Source organism: Homo sapiens, chromosome 9 (genome assembly GCF_000001405.40).
Source record: "Homo sapiens chromosome 9, GRCh38.p14 Primary Assembly".
In the NCBI taxonomy this organism is placed as follows: domain Eukaryota; kingdom Metazoa; phylum Chordata; class Mammalia; order Primates; family Hominidae; genus Homo; species Homo sapiens.
Window position 1 is genome coordinate 27171346 of NC_000009.12, and position 25502 is coordinate 27196847.

Genomic DNA, 25502 nt, shown 5'->3' on the forward strand with positions numbered 1-25502 from the left:
ATGTTCCCCCATTCATTTACCAAAATGTGTTGGTCATAACTCTGTGCCAAGAATTGTGTTGGTGTTGAGAATACAGGATCATAAGATAAATCCGTGTCCTTTGGGTCATTCCCAATCAGAGTAGGCACGTGTATAATTAGCTAAATAAATATTGAAAAATGACAATAGAAGTATGAGAAGTGTGGTTCCTCTAGTTTATGCTCCATGCTTAGCCACCTCTATGGACATAAAATATAGCAAGGTGTTTTATAGGCAGGACTATTTGGGCTTGAGTCGAGGGGAATCTTTCCACGTACCCAAGACCTATTTCCTTCTGGATGACTACTGTGCTTGACTTCTATTAAATGTCAGAGCAGCCTTTTTGTAATATGAATCTTAAAAAATATAATTTATGATGATAGCAAAACTGCAATATTCAGCTTCTAGTAGCTTGCCTCACAGCTACCTTTACATGAAGTTTCTGTGGACTTGGGAGAAGCAAGTGACATCCCCTTTTATTCCACTACTCAGGAGAGTCTGAATGTCAAGGAAGCAATTTGCCTTTATTTCATTTAGCTAGTTTCTCTGGAGTCTGATATAACACCATGTACTAGGTGTACTCAGAGGGTAAATGGGGTACATCTTCTAGGAAGGTCAGACATACCTATACATGTTGATATATAGTTGTTTGAGATAGGAAAACCAAAGTGTTTTTCCTAATCTCTGCTCTCACTGAACACAACACTTCTGACACCAATGTGCACAGATTACTACGCCACTTCTAGAATTTCTCATTCAGTAGGTCGTGGTTGGGTGGGATCTGGGGTTTGCATTTCTAACAGATTCCCAGATGATGGGGATGCTACTGGTCAGAGACCACACTTTGAAAACCACAGCTCCAGCCTGTAACCATACCTGCAGCTCCCTGGACATGCCATGCTGTCTTCCCATGCCTTGTCTTTGCCTGGAAGACACTCTCCAGCCTTATCTTCTTTGCTACTTAGTTGGTCCTGCAGATTCAGCTTGCATACCATATCCTCTGGGAAGCCTTCCTTTATGCCCTCTTCTATCCACCAGACAGAGTTAGGTACTCCTTGTCTTTGTTTCTGTCGCGATTTCCTGTTTACATGTCTGTCTCCCATATTAGATGATGAGCTTTTAGAGAGCAGAGCCTGTATTTTATCTTTATTCACCATTGTCCACTGAATGACTGACACACAGTAGGTGCTCAATAAAGATGTGTTGAGCGAATGCGCTCTACTCACCACAGCCTTGTTTTCCTTAACAAAAGGATGTGAAGCCCAGAAGTGGGGACCTGAATGCAACCATCTCTGTACTGCTTGTATGAACAATGGTGTCTGCCATGAAGATACTGGAGAATGCATTTGCCCTCCTGGGTTTATGGGAAGGACGTGTGAGAAGGGTAAGTAAAGAGACTTGATAAGTAAGCTGTGGATTTAAAAAGCCATCGTTGCTGGATCTAGAATTTTAGATCTCGACACAGATGGGAATGGACGCTAAATGGCCTCTGTTAGGTCAGATGGTACCTGTGTGTGAATTAGAAAAAGGTGCCTTTTCCTAAAGGTTCTTTAATGCCAACCACTGGAAAGTTATAATAAATATACAGATCCGTGATGTTTACAGTGTGAATGCTGCCCCCTAGGTTTGTGCACTGCACAAACCTGCATGATTGTGAGTGATGTCCCTGATGTCTGCTCTGTGGGGCAGTTTCATTATCAGTAAAATGGGCCATAAGGGTATGTTCATCCTACCATGCCACAGCTGAGATTTGACTGTTTCCCATATTCACTAGACTAGGAGAAATGAATCTAAAGAATTATGTATTTCAAGGGGTTGCATATTTGACTCTGAATCATCTTTTCTTTTCCTCCCAAAGCTTGTGAACTGCACACGTTTGGCAGAACTTGTAAAGAAAGGTGCAGTGGACAAGAGGGATGCAAGTCTTATGTGTTCTGTCTCCCTGACCCCTATGGGTGTTCCTGTGCCACAGGCTGGAAGGGTCTGCAGTGCAATGAAGGTATGCACCAATCACACCCTTGGACAGAGGATGTTCTAGCAGGTATATAAAGGAGATCCAGTTTGCTGTCAATCACAACATCGGATATACCTGGACTGCTTAGCTACCCACTACTGGACAACAGGATTTTGAATCATGGATGTTTACATCCAATGTTAATTATACTTTCACAGTAAAAATCTAGACCGCATAGAAAGTACTTCTCATAACTATCATCTGGGGATCTTTACTAAAGCACGGATTCTGATTTGGTAGGCATGGACTGGGGCCCGAGGTTCTGCATTTCTAACAGGCTCCCAAGTAGTTCCGATGTTACTGGTTTTCAGACCATGCTTTGAGTAGGAAGACCATAGAAGACTTGTTTTTTTTTTTTGGTTTTTTTTTTTTTTTTTTTTCAGTGAATCATAAAATCACAGCTTTAGCCAGGCATGGTAGCACATGCCTGTTGTCCCAGTTATTCAGGAGGCTGAGGCAGGAGGATCCCTTGAGCCCAGGAGTTTGAAGCTGCAGTGAGCTATGATTGCACCACTACACTCCAGCCTGGGCAACAGAGTGAGACCTCGTTTAAAAAAAAAAAAATCAAAATCAGAGCTTTTATGTCAGATCCAGACAGGATTTGGGGCTCAAAAATTGAAGAAGTTAAAATCTTACCTGCCGTGGACCTTATGCAAGTAGTACTAACATCATCTACTCAGAGTCCCTCTGCCCTTTGTAAAATAAGCTTTCCCATTTGACCAGGCTCTGTGGAGTGCATCTGACATCCACTTTTCAGTATGCATTTCACATCTACTGTTGCATAGTAGCTCAACATGAACCTGCAGACAAATGTGACAGAACCTCCCTAATGTATATTAATACTGTGAATTAGCCAGAGCTCAAAGGCTTTTCAGTGTTTATCTCACAAAGTCAGCTTTTCCCATATCCGGCACTAAAGGTAGCTACGATGGGGTCCCAGCAACTTGATAACAATGCTCCAGGGCAGAGCAGTTCAGTAGAAATATAAGCCATCCACATATAGAATTTAAAATTTTCTAGTGTCCACATTAAAAAAGTGAGGAGAAATAGGTGAAATAATTTTGATCTATTAACCCAATATGTTAAAAACATTATCAGTTCAACATGTAATCAATAGAAAAAAGTATTAATGAGATATTTTACATTCCCTTTTTCATAGTAAGTCTTTGAAATTTCAGTTTGGACTAGCTATATTTTAAGAGTTCCATAGCCACACGTGGCTAACTGTACTGGACAGCATAGCTCCAGGGGCTTGGAGGAGGAGGACAAAGAGGAGAGTTACACAAAAGTAAGCTTCAGCCACCTGCAATACCTCATTCAGTTCCCTCTAAATGCTATGTCTGCCCCCCGGAACATGCAGTGAGCCACAGCAGTGGAGAAATCCCATCTGGCCTCTGAAGTGTGTATGTTAAGGTAAAAGGTGACTCCAGGCAGGGGGCAGATCCCTTGTATTTTAAAAAAAATTAAAATGTTACGCAAACTATGAACACTTTGCTAGGACCCAGGAAGCGGTGCATGCCAGCAGTCTCTAGAACATAAACTTCATCAGCTTTGTAGTGAATGTGTCTCTGGGCCCAGGTTTTTTTGTTTTTTTTTTAATTCTTTTTATTATTATTATTATTATTATACTGTAAGTTTTAGGGTACATGTGCACAATGTGCAGGTTAGTTACATATGTATACATGTGCCATGCTGGTGTGCTGCACCCATCAACTCGTCATTTAGCATTAGGTATATCTCCTAATGCTATCCCTCCCCCCTCCCCCCACCCCACAACAGTCCCCAGAGTGTGATGTTCCCCTTCCTGTGTTCATGTGTTCTCACTGTTCAATTCCCATCTATGAGTGAGAACATACGGTGTTTGGTTTTTTGTCCTTGTGATAGTTTACTGAGAATGATGATTTCCAATTTCATCCATGTCCCTACAAAGGACATGAACTCATCATTTTTTATGGCTGCATAGTATTCCATGGTGTATATGTGCCACATTTTCTTAATCCAGTCTATCATTGTTGGACATTTGGGTTGGTTCCAAGTCTTTGCTATTGTGAATAGTGCCACAATAAACATACGTGTGCATGTGTCTTTATAGCATCATGATTTATAATCCTTTGGGTATATACCCAGTAATGGGGTGGCTGGGTAAAATGGTATTTCTAGTTCTAGATCTCTGAGGAATCGCCACACTGACTTCCACAATGGTTGAACTAGTTTTCAGTCCCACCAACAGTGTAAAAGTGTTCCTATTTCTCCACATCCTCTCCAGCACCTGTTGTTTCCTGACTTTTTAATGATCGCCATTCTAACTGGTGTGAGATGGTATCTCATTGTGGTTTTGATTTGTATTTCTCTGATGGCCAGTGATGATGAGCATTTTTTCATGTGTCTTTTGGCTGCATAAATGTCTTCTTTAGAGAAGTGTCTCTTCATATCCTTTGCCCACTTTTTGATGGGGTTGTTTGTTTTTTTCTTGTAAATTTGTTTGTGTTCATTGTAGATTCTGGATATTAGCCCTTTGTCAGATGAGTAGGTTGTGAAAATTTTCTCCCATTTTGTAGGTTGCCTGTTCACTCTGATGGTAGTTTCTTGCCCAGGTTTATAAGAGTACATTTCATGAACTCATCTCAGCCCATTCCTGGCTCAAGAAATCACCAAGATTTTATGAATAGAACTGTTCTAATATTCTTCCAGACTCCTTTCAACAATTACTATCCTGTTCATTCCATCCAAAAAGCAGTAGGAAAGCAAGGAGACATTTCTAACAGTAACTACTTAAGGACATGGTCTCCTTTAATAGTCCAGGATTTAGAATAGTCAACAATAGATTGTACACTGGCAAGTTTTATGTATCAGGGCTGGTTTCTATCTGAGGAAATAAGCAATAATAGAAATTTTTGAAGCAAATAGTGGGGACAATAAAGAGAACAGGGGAATTCCACTGTGCAAATATGTGATAATTCAAAGTCATTCAGAACACTTTGCCAGGAAGAAAGTTCTAGTGTATTCTAGAAACTAAAAAAATCAAGGCTTCATGATATTTTAAGGTCTTCTGCCATCCCAACAGAAACTTGATTTCAGTAGTCAGATTTCCTTTATGCTTATTAATAGTTCTTAACCTTTCTACCATCTGCTTTGAGTAAGAAGTTGTGATTAAGTTTTTTTCCAGCTTTATCAAGGTCTAATTGCTAAATAAAAATTGTATGTAGTTAAGGTGCAAAATGTGATATTTTGATATATCTATACATTGTGAAATGATTACTGCTGTTAAGCTAATTAACATATCCATCACCTCACACAGTTATCTGTGTGTGTGGGTGTGGTGAGAGCATTTAAAATTGCTCAGCACATTTCAAGTGTACAATACAGTAATATTAAGTTTAGCTACCACACTGTCTATTAGAACTCCAGAACTTACTTATCCTACTGTGTAATTAAAAGTTTTTGCCCTTTGACCAACATCTCCCCATTTCCTCCACCCTGTAGTCCCTGGGAACCACTATGCTACTCTGCTTCTATAAGTTTGACTTTTTCAGATTCCACTTATAGAAGAGATCTTACAGTATTGGTCTTTATATGCCTGGCTTATTTCACTTAGCATGGTGCCCTCCAGGTTCATCCGTGTTGTTGCAAATGACAGGATTTCCTTCTTTTCAAAGGCTGAATAATATGCCATTATATATGTGTACACACCACATTTTCTTTATCCATTCATCCATGGATGGACGAATGGTCAAGTCCATATTTTGGCTACTGTAAGCAATGCTGCAATGGACATGAGAAAACAGATGTCTCTTTGAGATAGTGATTTCATTTCTCTTGGATATATACCAGAAATGGGATTGCTGGATCATATGGCAGTTCTATTTTGAGTGTTTTGAAGAACTTCCTTATTGTTTTCCATAATGACTGTACCAATTTACATTCCCACCAACAGCATACAAGGGTTCCCTATTATCTACATCCTTGCCATTCTAGCAGGCGTGATGTGATATCTCATTGTGGTTTTGATTTTCATTTCCCTGATGATCAGTGAGGTTGAGTATTTTTCATAGACCTGTTGGCCATTTGTATGTCGTCTTTTAAGAGATGTCGGCTGGGCACGATGGCTCATGCCTGTAATCCCAGCACTTTGGGAGGCCAAGGCGGGCGGATCACCTGAGGTTGGGAGTTCGAGACCAGCCTGACCAACAACGAGAAACCCCGTCTCTACTAAAAATACAGAATTAGTCAGGCACGGTGGTGCATGCCTTTAATCCCAGCTACTTGGGGGGCTGAGGCAGGAGAATCGCTTGAACCAGGGAGGTGGAGGTTGTGGTGAGCTGAGGTCATGCCATTGCATTCCAGCCTGGGCAACAAGAGTGAAACTCCATCTCAAAAAATGAAAAAGAAAAAAAAAGATGTCTATTCAGGTCCTTTGTCCATTTTTTTATCAGGTTGTTTTCTTGCTATTAAGTGGTTTGCGTTCCTTATATATTCTGGATATTAACCTCTTATCAGGTGTATACTTTGGAAATACATTCTCTTGTTCCATACATTGTTTCTTCACTCTGTTGATTGTTTTCTTTGCTGTGCAGAAGCTTGTTAGTTTGATGCAATCACATTTGTCTATTTGTGCTTTTGTTGTCTGTGCTTTTGAGGTCATATCCAAAAAAATCATTGCCCGGATCAGTATCAAGAAGCTTTTCCCGTCTGTTTTCTTCTAGTAGTTTTACAATTTCAGGTCTTATGTTGTGTCTTTAGTCAATTTTGTTTTGAGTTTTGAATATAATGAGATGAGGTTCTAATTTTATTCTTCTGCTTGTGGTTATCCAGTTTTCCCAGGACTATTTATTGAAGAGATTATCCTTTCCCTGTTGTGTGTTCTTCATACTTTTGTTGAATCTGTTAACTGTAAATGTGTAAATTTATTTCTGGGCTGTCAATTCTGTTCCGTTGGTCTATATGTGTGTTTTTATGCCAGTACCATACTGTTTTTATTACTATAGCTTTGTAATATATTTTGAAATCAGGTAATGTGATGTCTCTAGCTTTGTTCTTCTTGCTCAATATTGCTTTGGCTATTCTAGGCCTTCTGTGGTTCAATATAAATTTTAGTATCGTTTTTTCTATTTCTGTGAAAAATACCATTGCAATTTTGATAGTGATTGTATTGAATTTGTAGATAACTTAGTTGTGATTGATACTAAAAATAAAGACTGCATTTTAGCTGGGTGAATAAAATACAAAATCAAAACAAATCATCATAGCCCCAAAAGACAAGCTTTTGCATTAATTTTTGGTTAGAAGCCTTCTAGTAATGTTACAGTTGACCAAAATAAGGACACCCAGTTAACAGAATCCATTTGCCATGTACCAAATTCTAAGAATTGTCCTGGCAGGTTTAGTGAGCTCCAAGGGAAAATAATGCTTCTACCCTGTCTTCCCAGGAGCTTATTACAAGTATCAAAACATAATTTGAATGGCTTAAATATTCTACTATAAAGAAACAGTCTTAAAAAGCTAACATTTTAAATTATCTTGATTTTTAGTTTTTAGCAGTTTAACCATGATGTGCCTATGCATAGTTTACTTTATATTTATTCTGCTAAGGGCTTAACAAATTTTTGAATGTGTAAATTTCAACAAATTGGGATAATTTAAACCATTATTTCTTCAAATATTTTGTCTAACCCTTTCTCTCTGGTCCTTCTTGGACCTCCAGTTACATGTGTGTTAGATGTTTTGTCTCTTGGGTCCCTAAGGATTAAAAATCATTTTTTTCCAACCTTTTTCCTACTTTTCTTCTTTAGATGGGCTATCTATTGATGTTGCTTCAAGTTTATTGACTCTTTCTTTTGTTATCTCCATTCTGTTGCTAAGTCCATACAGTGATTATTTGATTTCAAATATTGTGTTTTTCAGTTTTAGAATTCCTTTTGCTTTTTAAAAATAGTTTCTATTTCCCTGCTGAAGTTTCTCATTGTTGCATTTGTTATGAACATATCTTCTTTTACCTTACTGAGCATAGTTATTATAGTTGTTTTAAAATTCTTGTCTATTCCAACATCTGAGTCATCACAGTTGGTCTCTATTTATTTTCTTTTCCTTTAAAAAACGGGCCTTAATTCTCCATTTCTTCTTTGGATTGTATCTTGAACATTGAAAATGTTACATTATGGAGACTCTGGAATATGATACATTCCTTTTGGGAATGTTGATTTTGTTTTGTTTTAGCAGGCAATTAACTTGGTAGGATTCAAACCTCAAACTCTCACTGTTAGGAATCAGGTCAAACTCAGTTTAGTTCTTTTATCTTTAGCTGGGCTGCTTTGAGTCTATACTGAGCATGCATGGATCAAGGATCAGCCAAAGATCTGGGACTTTTCTCTGACTCTTTCTGGGTTTTCCCTCTCTCTCCAGTGGCTGTGGTTTTCCTGACTCTGTCTCTGATGCATCAGGCCAGTAGACTGCAGGTTTTCTTTGGAGTTGTAGCTTCCATACGTGGTGTCAACTGTACCTAACAGTTAGGCTAAAAGCTGAAAATTGGGAAACACATCATTCCCATCTTCCAAATTTCAATTCCCCTCCAGAATCTTCCAGGTCTTTTTTCTTCCTATCCCACTCTTAAGTGCTTTCAGGAAGTTATTTTCTAAATGTAGTTGTACCTACAAGAAAGTTGGCATGATAGGAGCTCATTCAACTTTTTTTGGAAGCATAACTCCCCAGCTTTTTAAGTTCCTGGTAATTCAGATAAATTACCCCCTACCTTACACAAATCAGCAAAGTTGATGGCTTAGAGAGAAAAATAAAACTAAACACCTGCAGTCTTAGTTTCCTCTCTTCCCCTGGATTAATACTGGTTTTTTGATGTCTCTGTTTACAGCATGCCACCCTGGTTTTTACGGGCCAGATTGTAAGCTTAGGTGCAGCTGCAACAATGGGGAGATGTGTGATCGCTTCCAAGGATGTCTCTGCTCTCCAGGATGGCAGGGGCTCCAGTGTGAGAGAGAAGGTAAAGCAAGGTAACACTGTAGTCAGGGCCATGTTCAGCATGTCTGAACTGAGCTTTGGTAGTGTAATTCTTGTGCCGGCATTCTAAGATCCTCAAGCCTCTTTTGTTTCCATCCAGAAGTTGGGAATAGTTTATCCTAAATCCTAAAGCACAGCATTTTAATTCTGCTCTACTGACCCTAATAGTAGGCTTTATTTGTCTTTGCACTAGGCATAAACCACGTGCTCTTTGTAGCAGCTTAAGTGATGACTGGCCAGCTGAGAGCTCTCCTACCTTTTCTGCTCCCTTCTCTAGGACCAACCTTTTCCCTGGACATGCGTAACAGAGAAAGAGCAATTTGGGATGGATTTAGACAGGGGATATTTTTAAAGCAATAGAAAGAATAAAACAAATAGAAAAGATTATGCTCAAAATGAAATTTTATGTCATTCTAGTTCAGAAGTTACTCTTCAGCAGGAGTCAGCAAACTTTAACCCACAGACTAAATCCAGCCCACTATCTTTTTTTAAACAGCTTTATAGAGATACATTTTTTATATTATAATGTTCAACTTTTTAAAATGTAAATTCAGTGGTTTTTAGTATATTTACAGAGCTATGCCATCATTGCCATAATCTAATTTTACAACATATTCATCATACCAAAACAAACCTTGTACCCATTAATAGAAACTTCCATTTTCCAATCATCCTAATTTCTGACAACCATTTATTTGCAGTTGACCTTAAACAACATGGGGGCTAGGGGTACTGACCCTTCTCGCAGTAGAAAATCTACATATAATTTTTGACTCTCCAAAGACTTAACTACTAATAGCCTTCTGTTGACGAGAAGCCTTACCAATAACATAGTCAATTAACACAGAGACTAGTATCTGTATATATTTTATGCCTTCATGACATACCTTTTTCTTAATTTTTTTGGTATTTCTAGGCTACACAGTTTGTCTGTGAGTTTTTTCAAATTATCCTAAATCTCCAAAAAATTTTCCAATATATTTATTGAAAAAAATCCACATGTCAGTGGACCCATGCAGTTGAAGCCTGTATTGTTCAAGGGTCAACCATATCTTCTGTCTCTGTAGATTGCCTGTTCTTGACATTTTATATGCTGTAAACAAGATTGTATAATACGTCGTCATTTGTGACTAGCTTCATTTGCCACACCTTTTTTGAGGTTTATCTATGTTGTGGCATGTATCAGTACTTCATTCCTTTTTTATTTCTCACCATCTGTTATTATAAAGAAAAAAATTTTGGATCACAGCCACCTCCATTCATTTATAGTATGTCGTCTGTGGCTGCTTTTGTACTACAAGGGCAGAAAACATGGCTTGCAAAGCTGACTGTATTTGCTCTCTTTACAGAAAATGTTTGCTATCCACTGTCGTAGAATATACTTTTTAAAATTAAAAGAAGCAGACATATGTATTTTCAAACTTAATAAATATGTATTGCTTTTTCAATCATATAAATATAAATGCCATTGAAATAAATACATATCCAGTGAAATCTACACTCACAATAATACAGCTATGGCCTTTTTTTCTGTTACTTTTGGAAATCAGAACAAATATTGGGAGTGGGGGTGGGATGCCAGTAAGTGTTTTCTCAAAGTCCTTAAACTTTATATTTTTTCTTCTTTTGCCAAGCCTGGACTTTACTACAGGGCAGGAATCAGGGAGTGGTTAGAAAGGGAAGGAAATGCCATGGGGCTACTAGGGGATTGTATTGAACGTGGGCAGCTAACAAGTTTAAGGATTTGAATTTTGTGCTTTGTTCCTTCCCGTCTGTTCCCTTCTGCTGATGCTGCAAAAGGAGTGCATTCTGATGGGAGAATCTAAGACAGGTTAACCAGGGTGTCACTAGGGCTTTCAGAGAGTAGCTCCCTTCCCAGATTCCACTTTAGCCCAGCACATCCACCTTCACCCCCACCCAGCTTCAGAAAATACAAGGGGACGATGAAGGAAAGAAATGCTTTAAAAGTGTCAAAACATGTTTTTCAATTCCTATTCAAATAGCTACTTAGGCTGAAAAACTTGGCACGTTTTCCATAATCTTTCCAAGTTTACAGATATATCAAGGAATAACCTTGTAAGTATTAGACCTCTTTCCCTTCTCCTCCACACCTTTACCCATTTCATTCTAGGCCTGAGAAGTAGGATATCAGTATAAAATATCATTATTGACCCCGCCTCTTCCCACCACCGATAAGAAACAGTCTGTAGTTACTGCTGCTCTGAGGGCACCTCTATCGCCTACATTGTTTACTGAGTGTTGGACAATTTTCAAACATGTCTCACATTCAATTACAAATAGTCCACAGTTCCCTGAGTCCCTATGGTTCAGAATAAAATTGGTATATTTCAGGGTTATTCATTCTCTACTGTGTAGATGTTAGGCAAGAAATCCTGACACCATTACCTTTATTGACACTACAGACATTTTTCCTTCTTTCAATATTGGCAGCAACATTTTTGATTTGGCTGTTGAGTGGATACTGATTTGGGGAAGTTATATTTCACTTCTTTGATGTACTTCTTTTGTGAGCAACTTTATTCACCTTTTCCTCTTAGTTATCTGCTATTTGCAGACTTCCCAATGAATGAGACATCTCTCGTATATCTAAACTGAGGTCAATGCTGTTGAACAGCAATACCATGGGGTTATTTGATGAGTGGAGGAAGAACTAGTTTTTTGTTTGTTGTATTTTTGTAATCATTCATGTAAAAAGAAAGAGGGGGATTGAACAGCAAAGTCTAGGGGAGATATGGCCATGATAATCATTTTAATATTGAGACTGTTCCTCCCTGGTCCATGAAAGGAGCACAGCCTCATGGCAAAGAGCGTGGACTCTGGATTTATAAAGATCTGAGTCTGAATCTGGGCTGTGAGCCTCTGTCTCCTCATCCATAAAATGGGAGACCACAATATCATCCACATCACAGGTGTCTTATGTGATGACAAAACAGTAAAATATTTGCAAAGTTCTTGCCCGGTGCATGACTTACTAAAGTAGCTATTTTTATTATTACTACTGCTGCTGGCTCTGTTAAATATTAGATTTCACAGTGCTGTTTTCTTCCTTCAGGCATACAGAGGATGACCCCAAAGATAGTGGATTTGCCAGATCATATAGAAGTAAACAGTGGTAAATTTAATCCCATTTGCAAAGCTTCTGGCTGGCCGCTACCTACTAATGAAGAAATGACCCTGGTGAAGCCGGATGGGACAGTGCTCCATGTAAGAGCCATTCTTAATTTGCCCTTCTTAAAGCATGAGATGCTTCAGTGTAGTAATCACCCCACTAAATGATAGATACCATTCAGTGCTTTTATCCTCCTAGGCTAGTGTGTTGTTGGCTTTGATAAAATGCCCTATTCCTGGAGAGGCAGAACTGACTCACTGCAGCCTCACTGATTTCTTCTGTTGGCCAGTACTGCTCTGCATGGTTGGGAATATGCCTCCTGGGGAACTGACAGAGCTGGGTGCCAAGGATGGCACACATCCTGCAGGACTGTCCAGCTGGTATGGGGAGAAGTACGTGTCAATCTGTGCAAAGCTTTGCTCTCGCAGTGTCCCCATATCTCTAACTACTCATATCAGGAGAGTAAGGTGGTGTTGCAACCCATGAATCAGCAGATTTACGTGCTACCAAGTGCAACCAGGACATGGAGTTTTGATGACCGGTCCACTCCTATTACGCTCTTTGGAGCAGCAGTTTAGGGGAGCATAGAAGAGGAGAGTTCCCCAGTTCTGAAACTACAATCCACGGGATCCCTTAGGTCTGAATGCATTCATTGGGTTTCTACCCACCTCTTCCCTTTGCCTTCATTGCTGATGCTCACCCATGGTCAGGTAATATCACAGCAGTTATTTTTTGTTTAAAAGGATCAAGCTACTTTTCGAACATGCTTTCCTTCTCTCTCCCAACTATACCAAATGCAGCAGAGACAGGAGCCACCCCAAATTTCTCTTGTGTTGAAAGTGATCCTTAGGATATTGATGTATTTTTTAATCTAAAAATTTAGAAATACTTATTATCCTATTTTTCTATCAAAGATGACCAAAATCAGCTTGACCAGAGGCAGGTATGAGTGACCTTCTGAGGGAGGAATATGTAGAATGTACCATTACTAGGGTCCACGTTTCAATGTCCCTGATTCCACTCAAACAACCCATCAGGTAGAAGAAGCCAATTGATGGCTTCCAAAATCTTATTGGCTTTTTCATGAGTTAATGAAAGTAATGGCTACTATTTAGTAAGGTTGGCCATAACTATATGTAACTTCTTACTTAACATTGCCTAGTGTCTCTTTTTTTTGGCGGAAGTGGGAACTGGCTGGGTGAAGTTAAGTAACTAAGGAATTGGTCAAAAATGGCAAAGAGGCCAGATACGGTGACTCATGCCTGCAATCCCAGTGCTTTGGAAGCCTGAGGTGGGAGGATCACTTTAGGCCAGAAATTTGAGACCGGCCTGGGCAACATAGCAAGACCCCATCTCTTAAAAAATAAAAAAAGAATTAGCTGGACATGGTGGCATATACCTGTAGTCCCAGCTACTTGGGTGAGGTGGGGGGATCACTTAAGGCCAGGAGTTTGAGGCTGCAGTGAACTATGATCACTCAACTGCACTCCAGCCTGAGCCAAGGAACAAGACTTTGTTGTCTCTCAAAAAAAAAAAAATGGCAGAGGTCCATCTCTCTTCAGAACCCTGGATTTTTCCAGTACTCCCCACTTGACAGCCTCTCAAACACTTAGGAAGTCACTTTGTCCTCCCACGCAGCCATCTCTGTGTTAGATAGGAAAGGAACAAATCTTATGAGGAGGAGTTTAAAAGAAATCATGCTTCAGGTGTCTTGCTTGTAAGTGTTTACCCCGTACTCCTAAACACACAAATACAACAGCAGGATCTGACAGGGCATCAATCCAAAATAAACTTTCAGGGCTACTACAATAGCTTTGGAAATAAGCCAATAATTATATTAGCATTACATTTAGCTTCTTGATCTCTCCTAGGAAACTTCTTATTAAACAATGAGATGGGGTCAATGTTATGGACCTTTGCGTTTATGCCTCCCTAGAAGTTTTTATTTTTTTGTATTTGACCTTTTCAGCCAAAAGACTTTAACCATACGGATCATTTCTCAGTAGCCATATTCACCATCCACCGGATCCTCCCCCCTGACTCAGGAGTTTGGGTCTGCAGTGTGAACACAGTGGCTGGGATGGTGGAAAAGCCCTTCAACATTTCTGTTAAAGGTAAGTTCATTTCCCAGAAAAAGGGATTGTGTCCTTGATGCATTATGTTTTTGTATTGCTGCTTCTAGACAGAAATGTATGCGACCACTAAAATACCTTTGGGGTAATTTCCAGGATAGTAAGCCTTTAAAAAATTATATGCATGAAACTAGAGTGAAGAAATTAAGAGTATGAACTGTGGAGTCACACAGCCCCAGGTTTGATTTTGTCCCTAACAGCTCATAATCTTGTGGGTGGCCTTGACCAAATGAAGTTACCTTTTTGAGTGTCTCTGTATTTGCAAATGAAGCATAATTTAGGTACCTCTTAGGGTTATTGTGAAGCCTTGTTAAACACATACAATACTTGGAGTTGTGTCAGGCACAACATATCTGGTAGTGATTATATTTCACAAGAAGGTTAGCATTGCCGTTGTGACTTCCTGTTCATTATTGTAGAGAATTATTTGGAGAATCCCTATTTTGAGGATTACTCACTTAATAAGAAGCCCAGGCTATGCTATATAATTAACATGAATGTCTTTTCACATTCAGGGCTGTGGGCATTTTTCCTGCTATAAATTAGTATTTCAAAATTCAAATTAATCTGAGTGTTTGTGTGTAGATTTGTGGCTTGAGTGGAAGAACTAAAATGGAGGTAAGTCCACGTTAACTTGGCTGGTGTACGTAGCTACAGCAAGGAATTTTAAATCCGCAAGTTACTTAATCACCTGTTTAGACAAGAATACCTAACAGCTCTCTGGCATATATTCTAGGAAAGATACTAGGCTAAGATTACTTGTAATTTCTGATACATTGTAAATGCTCTGTAAATAGTTGCTATCCTGTATTGTTTAGAGAATAATGAGAAGAAAAAAAGTCTGTACATGTTCAGACACAATTTGTTTTCTGAATATTTTTGATCCACAGTTGGCTGATCCACAGATGTGAACCCACAGATACAAAGGGTCAACTTTATACAGTAGCACACATTGTAAGCACAAATCTTAGTATTAAACCTGGATCTTCTGACTCCAAACCCAGCACTATCTCTTCTGGACCATTTTGCTTTCTGAGTCTCTTGTGTTACAGAGGAGGAGACTGTGAGGTGACCAAAGTTGATTTGTATTTGGCCCCCTTTCGTTACTTCATTAGTAATCTCTTGGGAGATCTCAGAGGTAACTTCTATAAATGAAATGCTGTAAATACTCAGAACATAATCTGTTTTTTAAAGGCCAATAACAACAGTAGCGTAAATGCAACCCCATAGATTTGGATTCTGTGCCCTGAGAATCCATATGAACCACCTCAGAATCCTCCTTCTTATTATTACTTTTGGTTATAGGAAAGAGCCCAAATCTGTTTTATTTGGTAGAACATTCACGTGATTAAAATAATTTCTTGCATCTTGAATGTTCTTGGAAGAAAGGAAATGATATGCAGACAAGAAAAATTACCCTACTTTTAAGCTTCTGGGAATGTTTGCTACCCATGGACATACGTCCAAAACAAACCATGTGGTGAATACACAGAAGAGTCACTGGGTCTAGTTTTTAGTTTGTAGTGAAAGACACGGCACACAACATCAATGTGTAGAAGCTTCTCCAGTCCTAAGTCACTGCTGTCTCTTTGCTGTCACATTGACTGGCAGCCATAAAATGTAAATAGCCATTAGGGAATTTAATCAATTTAATCAGCATCTTTTATTATAGTATTTACAAAAACAGATACTAGGCTTTAACACCAGTGTACAGATTGATACAGTCACTTTGGAAAACTGGCAACTTGTACTAAACCTAAACATTTACTTAGCCTGGGAACCAGCAGTTCCACCCCTAGGTATATGCTCAAAAGAATGGCTGTATTATGTTCAAAAAAGACATCTTCAAGAATGTTCAGAGCAGTTGTATTCATAGTAGCCCCAAACTGAAATTAACTCAAATGTCCATCAACATTAGAAAGGATACACTAATCACAAATTGTAGTATATTCATATGTATTAGTTTGCTAGGGTGCCATAACAAAATACTACAGGCTGAGTGGCTTAAGCAACAGGAATTTATTTTCTCATAATTCTGGAGGCTACAAGTCCAAGATGAAGGCATCAGCAGAGTTTATTTCTTCTGCGGCTTCTCTCCTTGGCTTGTAGATGGCCACTGTCTCCCTGTATCTTCACAGGGAGATTAAATTAGGACACAGGTACAGGGTCTTCCCTTTGTACTTGTGTCCTAATTTAATCCTCTTACAAGGACACCAGTCATATTGGATTATGGCAAACCCTAATAAACTTATTCTAAATTAATTACTTCTTTAAAGGCCTTATGTCCAGATACGGTTACATCCTGAGGTACTAGGGGTTAAGACTTTAATGTGTGATTTGGGGGGAATACAATTTAGCCCATAAAATCATGCAGAGGAATGTTAAACAGTAATAAAAAAGAATTAATTTCCGCAACAGTATGGATGAATCTTGCAAACATGATAACCAGTGAAAGAAAGTACATGCTTTATGATTCCATTTATATAAAGCTAAAGAACAGGCAATACTAATCTTCAGTCACAGAAGTCAGAATAGAGGCTACCTCTGGGTAGAGGATATTGACTGGAAAAGGGCACACAGGTGCCTTCTGGAGGGCTGGGAATATTTTCTATCTTAATCTGAGTGGTGGTTACATGGGTGTACACATAGGTAAAGTCCCTTGAGCTAAATACACTTAAGATATTCACGCTTTACAATATGTATGTTCCATCTCAGTAAAAATGATTAAAAGGCAAAAAATAAAATAGTAGATTACTAAGAGGAAGCCTTTGTAGCAATTTTTAAACCCTTGTAGAAGTATCACAGACTGACATTAATGGCTGTAATAAAATGTGCATCTGCTGGTTTAAAGAAAGGGGTGGCCTTATTTTATCATACAAGGAAAGCATTACTTGAACAAATTTACTTACAGCACTGCCCTCCTTTCTAGCCTAAGTGAAATGTGTACTCAGACTTATCTAACTTAATATTGGCATGATCTGCCTCCAGTTAGGGGATACTGCTTCTTACTGGCTTTATTATCCTGACCTTGGACAACTTCCTAAGTCGTCACTTAGTCAATAGAATTTACTTTAGGCCTATTATGTTTCAGCCCCTGTTCTAGGCACTGGGAATAGAGCAGTGAATAATACAGGGGGAAAAAGACTCACCATGGAGCTTACATTCCCACAGGGAGATAAACAGTGAGCAAATAAATAAGTAGAATGTACAGTTCACGAAAATGCTGAGTGTCTTGGAGAAAATTAAAGCAGAAATGGGGGTAGAGAATGCTGGGGCAGGGCTGGAGTGGTGACTGTAATTTTAAATAGGGTAATCAAGCCTTCCTGAGAAGATATTTGAGCAAAGACTTGAAGGTTATGTCTAAGGAAGGTGAGCCAAAGCATTGAGACAGAAAGAAAAGGAAAAATTACTGAACATTGCAATGTCCTCTGAAATCTGAAAGGTTCTGCATTGTATAATACACACTCTTGGGGAGGAAAAACAAAACGAGTTATGCATTTCTAAGAAGGCTGGGCCAAGGGAACTATAGAGCTCATTGGAAATTCACTTCACAAACAATAACTCAGCACCTAGTCGGTGCTGGTGAACAAACTACACAGTCTTTGCCCTAATGGAATTTAGAGTGTAGTGTGGTGTTTCACAACCTTTTTATTATCATCCCACTAAGGAGCTCTTTTAGAAATTGTATTCCAGAACTCTCCCTCATCACCATAAGATTTTATTATCACAGATGTACTTTATATCTCTTTATGTACTATGGCTCTTTGGCGGGCTGCAACCCATTGTAATATCTAAAATTTTTGCATCCTCCAAGAACCAATTTTCATTGTTTCTGGGGCGCTGTCATCCCCATTGAGAAGATGTGGTCTTTGAGATGGGGAGATTGTTCTAGATTATCTGAGTGGACCCATTCCAATCCCTTGAGTCATTCAAAGTAGAGAAACTTTCCTGACAATAGTCAGAGATGTGGTGGTCAGAGAAGGATCAGAGAGGCCTGATGTTGTAGACTTTGAAGGGATAGGAAGGAGCCTTGAGCCAAGGAATGCAGGCAGTCTCTAGAAGCTAGAAAGAACAAGGAAACAGATGGTCTCCTAAGCCTCCAGAAAGGAACACAGCCTTGCTAATGCCTTAATTTTAGCACAGTGAGATGCATGTCTGACTTCTGACTTCTAGAACTATAATAAATTTGAGTTGTTTGGCTGAAAGAGAGAGATATATATATATAGAGAGAGAATGAATTATGATCTAGAAGAAAGACCAATATCAAATAATCAAATAATCATACTACAAAGAGTAATAACCCCTAAAAATCACCATGAAGGAAAAGTAGAGGTTCTGTGAAAGTATACAATACCTTAATTCAGTTTCTATGATAGCCACCTGTGAAATATTCACATCAGAGCTAAGAATTAACTGGGAGAATAATGGGAGGTGGAGCATTCCTTGCAGAAGAGAGACATCCACAATCAATCTAAAGAAAGGAGGTTCGTGCTTTGTTAGTTGGATGAAGTGAAAGGTCAGTGGGACTGGAGGGTACTAGGTGAGGGGAAGAGGAGGCTGGAGAGTGGGCAGGGGCTTAATCACTCAAGGCCTGGCTGGTCACGATATGAATTTTTGGTTTTATCCTACATGTGATGAGAATCCATTGAAGGGTCTTGAGCAAAGGGGCACATTTATTTTAAGGAAGCACTTTGAGGATAATGGGTTGGGGAAGCAAAAGCAAAGCAGAGAGCTTAGAGAGCAGGTGATCTCACTGAGTCTGAGCAGAAAACTTTAAGAGGACTTTGTTGGACATGTAAAACATATCTTCTACCTCTACCTAAGAACAATCACAAAACCTCAAAGCCGAAGGACTAATCTGCCTTCTGAAATTGTATTTAGTTCTTCCAAAGCCCCTGAATGCCCCAAACGTGATTGACACTGGACATAACTTTGCTGTCATCAACATCAGCTCTGAGCCTTACTTTGGGGATGGACCAATCAAATCCAAGAAGCTTCTATACAAACCCGTTAATCACTATGAGGCTTGGCAACATATTCAAGGTAAGCTTTGGACAGGATAGATGCCAGCTGGGGATGTGGCACCAGGAGAATTATTTTTCTCCAAATCTAGAAATTCCCTTCTCCCTGCCTCAATCCTCTACCTCAAGGTGGTGGCTGTTGCAGAGGATTCTGTTTCAGAGTATTCAAGAGAGAGTGCAGGGGGCCCCTGAGCTCTGGGGCTAACTTTCTGAAGTCACTGTGCGCTCTAGAACACAGAACCAGCTCACACCATGAGTTACTATCTATATCAATATTTCTTTTTGGATCTCCAGTCCTGTTTTTAGTTATTCTATCTTGGCTGGTCATGGGGAAAGGCACTTGTTTATGCCATGAATATGGTAGCAGGAAAGTCCAGAGCCTGCTGGAAGGGCAGAGAGGCTTAATCTGCCTAAATCCTGGGGGTGATTGTTGCTGCTGTATTGAGTTGTTTATTCCTTTTCTCATTTCATGTCTTGCCCTGTCCTGCAGACTCTTAACACAGAGAGATTTTTGAAGGAATTTGAACCTGCAAAGTTTGGGCTGTGGCAGACTGGAATGGGCTCGGGGGAGGACAAGGACAGGCAAAGGGAGCTACAGACCCCTCCCCTAACTTCCTGAAAGAAAAAAATAATTGAACAAAATGTGACAAAATGCCAAAAGTTCATGAAAACAGTTGAATTTATTTTGAAACACAAATTACAATTATATTTGTTGTATGATAATGTAAAATCACAATTTTAAAAAGCAAAGAGCATTATCAGTGACCATGCTGCTTCAATTGGACTATTCTGTAAAAAGACCTGCCACTAACATGCTTGTAGGCAGCATGTCCTCCTCCGCCCATACCTTTGTCTTACTATGCCTATGATTTCCTTAAAATGACCCTCTATTCACTATATGGAGATAATTAAGAAAACTATGGAAAAAAAAAAAGAGAAGAGGAGGAGGGTTTTGGGCTGAATAACACTAGCTGACCTGGGTAGACCGAATAAAATGGTATTATTACTGAGTCCTTCACATACTATTGTAGATTCTATCAAAATTCAGAATTCCAGGGATGTCAGGCTGATTTGCTGAATTGCTGTTTCCAACATCAATGGCTAGGTCTTTTGCTGTCATATGGTGGTAATAATCCATCACCTTTGTCTACAAGTGGACATCCACAAAGTGGTCTTCTAAGAACTGTTAAACACATCCCAGTTTTTTTTCTTACCAAGTAGGAATTTATCATATGATAAGGCAGAAATTTATCTTTGCAGTATCCATGGAGAAACAGAGGCTGACTAAAGCAAATAGGTAAGGAGAAAAGAGACAGATACCATTTGTTTATGGGTGCTATTTTCAAGGACTTCAGAATGCTTCATTGTAATAGTATGACCATTGCAAATCAGTTTTCTGGTCATTTTGAGCAAACCTCCTAAGCATCTTTTTCTCTCGATAGCTTGATTGCAATCAGTGTACATACTTGAAAACAGTAGCAATTAAATTATTCTAATTGAGTATTCCCCCAATCTGGTATTCCATATAGATTTGTGAGGTTTTATTCTACAAATGAAAAGACAAAAGCACCAGAGCAGAAATGTGTAAGTGGCACAGAAATACACACTTTAATGTGTACATTGTAACCTGGAAACATTTCAAAAGCCTAATTTTCCTCATATTGGGAAGGATGAGGCCTTGAAGATGGAATTGCCTCTCTGTTTCACTAAGACGTAGTTTTGAAAACCTAAAATTAGTTCACATCGCAATAACAACAACCCCGGCTTAAGGAATGTAAGAGAATGCCAACTTAAGTTTCCTGGACGTTTTCTCTTCTCAGTGACAAATGAGATTGTTACACTCAACTATTTGGAACCTCGGACAGAATATGAACTCTGTGTGCAACTGGTCCGTCGTGGAGAGGGTGGGGAAGGGCATCCTGGACCTGTGAGACGCTTCACAACAGCTTCTATCGGTCAGTGGAAGCCAACAGGCATTTATTCATGAGCTGGGTGGGAGGGGGAGGAAGGGGAAAGAGGAAGGAAGACCAGGAAGGGTGGTGGTGGGTGAGTGGGTGGGTGGGGATGGAGGTGGCAGGAGTTCGCTTTTGAATGGGTGGGAAAGTGACAGGAAGGCTAGCAACTTCAAGCCAAACTGTTCCTTTATTTGGGTTGGACTCCTGGTCTGTCTCCCTGGGGGAGGAGGTCTGCAGCACTCTGTAGGGACAGAGAAGGAAGCAGATGAGCCTTCAGGAAGGCAGGGCCTCCCCTAGGAGCTGGGATTTACACAGCAGCAACTGTGCTGAGCTTCAGCTCCTGCATTTTATCACTGGCTTCCTGTTTCCATCTTAAGGGCCCAGACCAGGCTCTTGCCACAGGCATATTTTAGAAGTCCCAGTTTATTTATTTTCAAAAATAATTTCCAATTTTTCAAAGTAATTCATGGTCAGAGTCATGACATCAAATAGAATAAGAAGCTTTTATCTAAAGAACAGCATTCTCCTGCTCCACCCTCCACCTCCCAGTCCTGCTTCCTATAGGTAGCCACTTTCATCTCCTTAAGCTATTTCTTATATTTACCTCCCTTTTCTAAATCAGTGGTTCTCAAACCTAAGTGTCCATCAGAATCACTCAGAGAGTTTGTTAAAAGATGTTTCTGGGCCTCGTCCCCAGAGTTTCGGATTCAATGGTTTTGAGGTGAGGATGGGGCCGGGGTTCAAAAATTTGCATTTCTAGTAGGTTCCCAAGTGATGCTGCTGGTCCTGGGTCCACACGTTCTAGATAACATGTGTAAAATTACTTCTGGACTTCTCAGTGGTGTTTGGTATTGACTGGCCTTCTATTGCGTTAATTAACTCTGTGAAGCCTCCTTGATGCTAACCTGACCTCCAGCTTTCTGTTACCCAGGTACCCTCCATTGAAATACTGGAGTGATCTTTTGTAAGGTTCCATTCCTGGTTCTTTGAATTGTTCACTGTGTATAACCATTCTGTTACTCTCTCTTGGTCAGTACTTTATACTTTCAACTTCATATATATTTGATTTATATCACCTAGGAAAGTAAGAATTATCATCTTCCCTATTTTACAGATTGAAAAGTAGAGACTCAGAGTACTTAATAACAGTAAGATGCATCACCATACTAAATCTTCGGGCTTCATATCTTTGTCTTTTAGAGCCAGGATCTTGCTCTGTCACTCAAGCTGGAGAGTGCAGTGGTTTGATCAACACTCATTACAGCCTCTATCTCCTGGGCTCAAGTCATCCTCCCACCTCAGCTTCCTGAGTAGCTGGGACTACAGGCACACCACCACATCTGGCTACTTCAAAAAATTTTTTTTGTAGAGACGGGGTCTTGCTTTGTTGCCCAGGCTGGTCTTAAACTCCTGCCTCAAGCAGTCCCCCAGCCTTGGCCTCTCAAAGTGTTAGGATTACAGGGATGAGTCACCACTCCCAGTCCAGGCTCCATATCCTTTTGTTTCTCCAATTATTATTTCTACCTAGAATCCCAAAGGCACCAGCTTATTATCCCAGTTCACATATTTGCCTGTGTTTTACTCCATTTACTAAAAGTAGAAGGATATGTTATGATTGAGTGAAAAAACCAGGAAGAACATCCACTTTTCTTCTGCAGAGATTGTGCACCCTTAACAGAAACATCCTTCCTTCACACCACCCACCTAGTTTTTATGTTACTAGCAGCATCCTTAAAGAACCAAATGAGACTCAAAAGCTACTCTGAGACTTATAGAAGCATTACACACAAGTAAGAAATGGCTGCTTGGGGACCCACCTGGTTGTGAATATAAAAAATAAACCCAGAAACTATATAGAGAGGAAAAAGGGACCTCTACAACCATGACCCAAGGGATCCCTGATATGTCATCATGTTACTGCTAAAAGGCAAATGGTAGTTAATTCTCTCTCAAGTCACTGTTGGTGAGTCAAGAGGGGAAGAGCATAAACTGACTCAGATGGAAAGTATTTATGGAACAGAACATAAAACACTTCACAGCCCCACACTGTACTGTCTTCAGCCCTCAGAATGTGTTGCAGCCAGGAGGTCTCTCAGAATATTTCAAAGTAGTTCTCAGGGGTAGGCGGGAAGGGGATTATTGAAGGTTCTTCTTTTCCCATCATTTGAATTTTGCTGCTGTTTGCTTTTCATTTCGTCTGGCAGTTGCACTGTTTATGTGTGTTGATTGAGATGGTGAAGGCCAGGGAGTCCGGGAGGGGAAGGAAGAGAACACTTTCTGAACATAGTGCAGAAAGGGGCAGACAGGGAGGCGTATGGGGTAATCATGTTCCCAAAGGGCGGGAAAAGGGGAAATGACTATTTATTGAGTTACTCTTCTGTACCAGGCACAGGATTAGGAGGTGTAAATGTATTCTCCAAAATATCAACTCCCCATTCTCCTTTGTCATTGCAAACCTGCCTAAACCACTCTGGGTGGCTATTTTGGAGGTTAAACTTCAGAGGTTAACAAGAGGAGATGGCATCACCTCTCTCCATTTGCAAAGGTTACAGAGAAAGGGCCATCAGACCTTTTGCATAATGCCAAGAAAATGCATGCCTAGCTGCTGGTTCTCACTAGTCTGAGGGTAGTCAGAACCAGGCTGGTGGGACTTAATTCCCAGTAGATGGAAACAGACCCTTCCTCTCACCTCGAACCAAGAGTAAGAGCAGTGTTTCTCAACCTTTAAAAAAAAATGTATTGCTCATCCCCAGTGAGCTGTTTCAGATACGTTTATCCTAGTAGATCCTGCCTCCCGTGAAATTTTAATACCACAGATATGCTCTATATCTGTTTCTGTATTATGGTCCTCTGTAAACAATTGTAGTAATCTGAAATTTTCTCATACACTAAGAACAAATTTTTTTGCCCCATAGGAGTGATTGTGTCCCTACTGAGAATGCATGAATTAGAGGATCTCTATCCTACGTTTTGGAAGGACTTCATATCTGGAATTTAAAAATCAATTTACTATTATTAACTGAAAACACACTATTTCCTCCTTTGTCCAGTGACATAAGACATCTCGAAAGAAGGAAGGGAGGGAGGAAACCAGTGTTAATAGAGCCCCTAACACCTTCCAAGCATTTTCACATCCATTTTCTCACTTATTACTCCTGAGTCTGGAAGATGGATATTTTAATTTTATTTTACAGGTGAACTTGGAGAGATTATGAATTTGCCCAAGGTTGCAAAAGTAAAGTGGCATGTTCCTGTCTCTCTGATTTTAAAACCCATATTGTTTCTATTCAGTGATGTCTTGGTAGCCCAGGCTCCTGTGGGTGATTATGGCCAGGCATCACGTAGTCATAGCGGATACCTTGATGTGATCAGAGCAGGAATAGGCCTGGCCCTGCCACCACAGCTGTATGATTTCTGAAAATCTTGCTAAGGGGAAGGAACCCCTAAATTGCTTTACAATGTATTGCTCAAAATGGTAACAGAAACGGTAAATACTCTCCCATAATCCCATAACCTTGGCAAATCTACTGTTTTGATTTTTATCAGTTTCCTTCCTATCCTTCACCATTGTAGACATAACTTTTAGCATGCCTACATGTACTTGAAGTCTCTTTATTGGGCTTTCATACTTATCCTAGTTATCTATTTTTCCACTGAATGGCTATATCATAATTTATTAAAGCAGTTTCCTATTTTGAGTGTTTAGGTTTCTTCCAATTGTTTGCTGTTATAAATAATGTAATGAATCATTTTGGTAGGGAAAAAAGTATCATATGGGCCACTTGCTTGTGTTTCTTTGATAGCTTATGAGGTGGTATCTTATTCTAGAAGCCAAGGTTACTCTTAAAAGGTGCCCTTTAGCGCTGTCATTGACTCCACCCTTGTATTAGTCTGTACTTGCATTGCTATAAAGAAATACCTGACACTGGGTAATTTGGAAGAAAAGAGGTTTGGCTTTTTACCAAGCCAAACAGTAAAAACAGTAACCATTGGCTCATGGTTCTGCATGCCGTATAGGAAGCATCTGCTTTTGGGGAGGCCTGAGGGAGCTTTTACTCATGGCAGAAGGCAAAGTGGGAGCAGGCACTTTGCATGGTGAAAGCAGGAGCAGAAGAGTGAGGGGGGGCGGTGCTATACACTTTTTTTTTTTTTTTTTTTTTTTACTGTTTCATAATTTATTTATTTTTCCATGGAAATTATTTAACATTTTATTTTCTGACAAAG

General features: G+C 39.7%; 1 protein-coding gene across 5 annotated transcripts in view; it reads left to right on the forward strand.

Moving 5' to 3' along the window:
* The window catches only part of TEK (TEK receptor tyrosine kinase), a 120950-nt gene that overhangs the window by 62121 nt on the left and 33327 nt on the right, over positions 1-25502 (forward strand). For 3 of the 5 annotated variants that reach the window (NM_001290077.2, NM_001290078.2, NM_001375476.1), the window contains 6 exons: positions 1271-1402; positions 1877-2017; positions 12114-12265; positions 14140-14284; positions 19184-19345; positions 21144-21278. In NM_001290077.2, coding sequence (NP_001277006.2) covers positions 1271-1402; positions 1877-2017; positions 12114-12265; positions 14140-14284; positions 19184-19345; positions 21144-21278 — 867 coding nt within the window. Of the gene's footprint in view, positions 1-1270; positions 1403-1876; positions 2018-8894; positions 9024-12113; positions 12266-14139; positions 14285-19183; positions 19346-21143; positions 21279-25502 lie in introns of all 5 variants that reach the window. The other 2 variants (NM_000459.5, NM_001375475.1) reach the window with 1 other exon arrangement.